Source organism: Homo sapiens, chromosome 18 (assembly GCF_000001405.40).
Source record: "Homo sapiens chromosome 18, GRCh38.p14 Primary Assembly".
Lineage (NCBI taxonomy): Eukaryota > Metazoa > Chordata > Mammalia > Primates > Hominidae > Homo > Homo sapiens.
The window spans coordinates 62,609,600-62,616,512 of NC_000018.10; the positions used below are offsets into that span (position 1 = coordinate 62,609,600).

The following is a 6,913-nucleotide window of genomic DNA, read 5'->3' on the forward strand; positions in this document are numbered from 1 at the left end:
AGATGAGTGATTTTGCCTCTCTGTGCATCTGGGTCACCACAGCTTTGGAGATGCCAGCTCTCAATAGCTACAGTTGGGCCCAAAAGACCAAAGCCCCAAGGCCTTAATTGCCAGGGGGTGGCAAGGCCCTCCCCCGCCCCTTAAAGCTGGGCAGCTGAGTACTTTCCCCATGTTGATCTGATTTTGACCTTGTTGCTTGATTGTAGGCTGGATGGCTTCATTGTAGAAGTTGTGGGTGGGGCAGGTGCTGTGAACACACACTGCAGACTATCATTATGTTATATGAAATTCAATGACATTTAAAAATAAACACAGTCACTTCAACAAGCTGCCAATGTGTTGGCATTTTCATACACAGTACCACTCGCCCCCATGGAGGGCTCCTTGAGGGACACATGCTGTTTTCCCAACCATGATGTCATTTGATCCTCAGCACAATCCTGGGGTCTGGTTTTAGGATTCCACCTCATAACTGGCGAAACAGACACAGAACATTTCAACTTTCTGTTCAGGATTACAGGGCAAGACTAAGAACCTTCATTCCCTAACTTCCAGTCCTATTCCGGGCCTTTAGTTTGATGTTAACAGCTGTTTGTCATTTTAGCAGGGAGATGGGTACATTCGTGGTATTTCTCAAGGAAGGGAGGACGACATTAAGGAATGCAGAAGAAGGTCACCCTACTTATTCCTCCAGTTTCCCTGGGTTGCCCTGTCTTTGCTGCCTCATTTTCTTTGTTAGAAATTCACTTTGCTGTCTTCCATGCTCATTACGCATCGTTATGTTGGGGTTGGGGGTGGGGGGGGCAGAACGAATAATTAACTCCCAGGCTTTGCCTTCTCTTTGTCTCAGGCACTTTGCATCCTCCCCTGTCTTTCTCCTCCAGAGATCAAACTCTTATCCCTCTTCCTATTTTCCTTTGATGCAAGCTTTATGACTGGGAGGATGTGCTTGTCAGTTGCTATTCTAAGGACCTGGAGGTCATTTCAGTCCCTGCTTCTGTAAAAAGGATGAATTTGGAGGAAGCAACCCACCAGCCTCCCCTTCCTCCACTTCACTTGTTTATGTGTTTGCATAATCTGTTTTCAGCAGTAATTGTCCTATATGTGAAAATATGAAGCCTTATTTTGACAGCTGGCAGTGTCTTTGATATTGGAAGATGTCATTTGGAAAAGAGGGAACGACAGCAGATCGGAGGCAGCTGTTCACCGCCGTGGTAGCCCGTGAGCGCAGCTGTGGGGTGGTGATGGTGGGATTTGGGATTGGGCGGGCTGGTGTTTGTTTCTGTTTTGTGTTTTGTCAAATCCCTGGGGCTGGATATCATTAGGCTACAAGCTGCACATTCTATTTAGTTAGAACCAGGAGCTGACGGCATCAGAGAAGAGGAGGAGGGAGAAAGAGCAAAGGGGCATGGAGCGGAAAAAGAAAGAACAGGAGAGGACCTTGAAAGGTGGAATAAGGCCGTGAATGCGGGGGAGAGAAGTCACAGGCAGAGAAAGACAGAAAATGAGGAGGTGGAAACCGGCTGTTTGGGGGATGGGCTAATTGCCCAAGTAAGGCTCTGCCCTGAGACCTGGGGATTATCTAGCCTTTTTCACCGGTCAGTGTCACAGGGGCCGCCGCTGCCTTAGTGCAGGGAGCCCAGTCCCTCCACCGCCGTCCCTGCAGCCTGCAGACAGGGCCCACCTGCCGCCTACTCCCCGGCTCCAGCAGCTGGGAAAGGCTCCCATCAGCAGGTGAAGGGGAGCGGGAAAGCCACTCGCCAGCGCCTGCTCTGAGGCTGCTGTCCTTGCACGTTCACACGTGGGAGAAGCGACTTTCTTTCTCTTTCTTCAGTTCCAAGGAGCCCATTAGTGGCCTGTGACGGGCTCAGGTATTGTTCCCCTCAAGACCCACTGGGCCTGCCGCTGCCAGGGCTCACATTCCTGCCCCGGCGACAGGATCGGGTCAGGCTGTGTCCTGAACCCCACGCCCCACCGGCGCCTGCACACACGCGCCCCTCTCCACCTCCCCTTCTCAGTCTCCTGCCCTGGGCGCTCCTTGAGACCACCACCAGGACGTCCAACTCTAAAGCCACAGAGACCCGGGCTTCCTGGGAAAAGCTGACCAGCGCATTCCTGCAGGCGCAGGATTAAGACGGGAAACCCAGAAAGGAGTCTCTCCTCATTGCAAACAGAGATAAGCCTTCGGGGAGAGTTGCACACAGGAGTGCGAGTGGCCACCCCTCCAGGGGCTGTGACAGGGGAATCTGTGGGTCAGCGGCCTCTCTGCCACCACCAGCCACACGACTTGGGGAGGACAGCTGGGGCCTCCCTGTTCCCCTGTCCGCAGCAGTCAGGGCCTGCCTGTTCATACCCAGGTTATCACGTGAAACCAGGGAAGTCAGGGACCAGCCTCTGACTGCGGGACAGAACCACAACACAGGGTGTTGCTGGGGAGGCCCGACCTGGCTCGGGTTGGCTGCTTTCTCCTTTACAGGCTAAAGATCTGCTGCCCGCTGGCTCCTGCGGCCCTCCGTGGAGTGGGGGAGGCCGCCCTCCCTCCTGCGTCACCATCCTGGCTGCCTCCGTTCCTGCAGCTGACTCTGCAGGGGTGGGGAGTTTTGCTAGCAAGGCAAGTGGGATGTATTTCCATCCATGTCACACAGAGCTGACAGAAGCTAGGCGATTCCAGGGGGAAATGTCCTTACTTCCTTCCGAATGGCCTGGCTGCAGCTTAAGTGCACAGAGGAGTGGTTCCTAGACCCACTCTCAATCCTGGGTCTGGGTCTGGCTGGGTCTGGCTGCTTCTGCAGGCTTCTTGCTGTCAGGTCTCTCTGGTGTCAGAAATCTCCTGCCCTGCTGCCACCTTATGGAGTTAGGATGCCAGACAGACTGGCAGGGAAGCAGCCCCATGGGGGGTTGAACCCTGCCTCTCTACTCTGTTCTCTGCATGGTATCAGGGTGGCCCCGAGGGAGTGCAGAAGTGCCAGCCTTCCGCGGAGGGGAAGCCCTTTTTTGCCTGATCTTCTACATAAGCTTCTCCTAAGTGCTAGAGTCAGGCATAACCCCAAGGAAAGTTTCAAGGAGACGAGTGGTTCCAGCATGCAATGCTGCAGAGAGCTCAAGGAAAGCATTTAGTGGATGTCATAACTAGGAGGTCGTCAAGACGGGGAAGCTGCAGAGAACACCTGGGCACTGCTCCTTTGGGGATCTTAGCTGAGAGGCCTTCCTGTTGGCAAGAGAGGGGGTAGGAAGGACCTACTCTCCTGCCTACTCCAGTGGGCAGGCTTTCACATGAGAAGGAAAGAGGAAATGTAATTATTTCTGAGACTGAAGAGATCAGGTGGCATGGTATTAATGATTAGGGAACAAGACTGTCATACACATCACGACAGTTCGTCAGTTCCAACTTCCCTCATGTGAATGACAGCTGACATTCACACTTGCAGGACCAGGAGCCAATAATAACTACAAAGTGGCAAGTGGCTCTGTCCCTTCTGCCGCCACTAAAGAAAGCATCTCAAAATGCAAGCGTGTGGTAGTGACTTCATTGTAGAGACACTTGAATCACCTCTAGTTTATTAATATATTATAATAAACCAAAGAATGGTCCTTTCACTCTTAGTCACAAAGTACTTGCACCATGCCTCTCAATAACATAAACCAACAAAAAACTCAGTGAGATTCAAGACTCATAGTTCAACTAACACCCCTGCCATACTCACTCTTCCTTCTTAAAAAAATATCAATGCCAACAACTTACAGAAAAATCTCATCAATACTAAACAGCTGTTCCTTTCCTAAAAAGTCTCTTTGGATATAAATTGGTATCTCCATCAGCTTACAAGGTTGTAATCAGTATGTACATATAATTTCATGTTCTACTTTTCTTCACTAAATATTTCATCTACACATTCTCATTTACTGGTGTACTCTCACGATGTCTAGGGGCTAAAAAGATTTTATTAATTAATGTTTTCCCATTGTGGAGTATTGGTTGTTTCCCATTGTTCATTTTACAGTGCTGCAATTGATTTTTTTATAGAAAAGAAAATCAATGTTTTGTGTTTTCATTTTGAGGTACGTTTTCCCAAGTGAAACTATTGGATCAAAGGGTCTAAAGTGTTTGATGCCCTCTCACATAGTGTCAGATTCCTTTTCTATAAGAATACGCAAGCCGGGCATGGTGGCTCATGCCTATAATCCCAGCACTTTGGGAGGCCGAGACAGGTGGATCACCTAAGATCAGGAGTTCAAGACCAGCCTGGCCAACATGATGAAACTCTGTCTGTACTAAAAATACAAAATTAGCCAGGCGTGGTGGCACATGCCTGTAATCCCAGCTACGCAGGAGGCTGAGGCATGAGAATTGCTTGAACCCAAGGGTTGGAAGTTTCAGTGAACCAAGAGCGCACCACTGCACTCCAGCCTGGGTGACAGAGTGAGACTCTGTCTCAAAAAAAAAAAAAATAAATAAAGAATACATCTATTGTTAGTACCACTAGCAATATATGAATATCCAGTCCCCTTCATGTCAAATGGATTTTTTTTTCTTTTTTTTCTTTTTTTTTTTTTTTGAGATGGAGTCTTGCTCTGTCACCCAGGCTGGAGTGCAGTGGTGCAATCTCGGCTCACTGCAAGCTCTGCCTCCCGGGTTCACGCCATTCTCCTGCCTCAGCCTCCCAAGTAGCTGGGACTACAGGTGTCCACCACCACGCCCGGCTAATTTTTTGTATTTTTAATAGAGATGGGGTTTCACCATGTTAGCCAGGATGGTCTCAATCTCCTGACCTCGTGATCCACCCGCCGGATTTTTTTCTTTCTTTTGTTTTTCTTCTCCTTTTTTTTTTTTGGTTTCATAGATATGCAATATTTCTCAAAAGAATTGTTTTAAATCTGTATTTCTGAAGTTGAATTTAGGGGAGAGCCTGTGCCCCTGATGCCACCCTAAAGTGTCAGAGCCTCTTCACCCCGACAGTCTCCTTGCACACACATGTGTATGAACCGAAAGAGGGAAGTTTCTTCAAGACCCAGGCCCAGACAGCCAGCTCACACACGCATGTGACTGGTTTAAAGGGAAGTGCATAGCTGCTCTGGAGCATGGCACGGCAACCATTAGTTTAGTACCTGGCAAAGGGTAGACGATCCAGAAGTAGGCGCTGAGCTAGCTGCTTCGTGGAGCCTGAAGGAGAGTGTGATGCTGTGAGCGCTTCCTCCCCGAAGCTGCATAGCAACTACACATGCCTCCTGAACAGCTTTTCTTACCCCATCTTCTGTTCTAAGTATGGCAACTACATGTCCTAAATCTGCTAACATTTCAAACAGGTGGTCCAGTTGTCCCCAGAAAGTGCACTCATTCTTTTGAGACCACATGTCCCAAATTTGGACTGGGGACATGTGGTCACTACTATTTTGATGTATTGGTCTCCCACACTCCACTAGAACGCAAGCTTATTAAGAGTAAGGACTGTCTTATTCATCATTCCAAACCTGTATCATCCCTTTTCTACAACCTACACCATCCTTTAATTATAAAGTTGGTTCTACTTGCTCTCTTGTCACTTAGAGAGTTGCTATTCTTTGAAAATACAGATCCTAAAATAGCTCCATCTCTTTTCTCTCTTCCAAACTGTGTGTGTGTGTGAAAATGGGTTCCAAAAATATAATTTTCTTTAATGTGTTATAAGTAGCAATAGAGAAGCAAAAGGCAATAATATGCCCAGTAAGCATTGCCTACCAAACTAATTCTGAATACTTTATTATCCTGCTGACAACTGAAGAACGGTATTTGAAAGTCAAAAATTTCACTGCTTTCACACAGTATACAAATTGAAGCTCACGTGGCCAATGAAAGATATTAGCCAGAGGCGTCAGTTATATAAAGAGTTTCAGCACAGTGCTATAAATGCGTAGCTCTCAATAAATATTATAAAGATGAAAATACTAAACACGCTTTTTTTTTTTTTTGAGACGGAGTCTCGCTCTGTCGCACAGGCTGGAGTGCAGTGGCGCAATCTCAGCTCACTGCAAGCTGCACCTCCCGGGTTCACACCATTCTCCTGCCTCAGCCTCCCGAGTAGCTGGCACTACAGGTGCCCGCCACCACGCCCAGCTAATTTTTTGTATTTTTAGTAGAGACGGGGTTTCACCGTGTTAGCCAGGATGGTCTCGATCTCTTGACCTCATGATCCGCCCGCCTCAGCCTCCCAAAGTGCTGGGATTACAGGTGTGAGCCACCATGCCCAGCCTAAACACGCTTTTATAAATGACATACTAGTATAGCATATCCATACAGCAAATCCTCTAGAGTATCAGAATAATTCTGGCAAATGCTTTGATTCTAAACTCTCCACATTCCACTGACTTCAACAGAGATCCCAGCACCTAACATTGTCTTCCAGACTCCTCCTACTGCTATGACAGGAGCCTGAAAGACTGATGGGAGTCAGACTTGTTGAACTGGCACAGTCTTCAATATGCGAGGAGACCACAGCATCCTCGACCTAGAGCTCAAATCCAAGCTTTGGCGACTGGACCAAAACATCTAGATGGTTAGGTGAGGGTGAAGGGGATGGCTAATCATTTCTAGAATGGTAAGTTTCACTTGGTAGGAATTGTCTTTCATTCACCAGCAGGGTTTTTAATTCTCCCCCAAAGAATTTAAATGACAAATTCAAGATAAATGAGGAAAGTGTCCTTTGGAAAATAAACATCTACCATCAGTCCCATTTGTGGGTTCCCAGGGCAGCTGGTACGAATCAAGGGGAATATGAAACATCTTCCGCATCTCTTGACTCACATCTGGCCCCAACCCACCGCCTTCTGAGTCCAGAAGACTTTACATCTCACAGTTTCCTCTGCCGCCCCGCAGGCCTGCTTGGACAGCTGTGGCTTGCCGGCACGAAGGCCACGAAGCTGCAGATCAACCAGTGAG

The 6,913-nt window shown here is 48.2% G+C and overlaps 1 annotated feature.

Annotated features, from left to right (window-relative positions):
* Positions 2,013–2,687: an enhancer, noted in NCBI's record as "H3K4me1 hESC enhancer chr18:60278845-60279519 (GRCh37/hg19 assembly coordinates)". NCBI's record gives its function as "activates a minimal SCP1, AML or CMV promoter by ChIP-STARR-seq in naive H9 embryonic stem cells {active_cell/tissue: H9 hESC(naive)}" and the evidence as "EXISTENCE:reporter gene assay evidence [ECO:0000049][PMID:30033119]".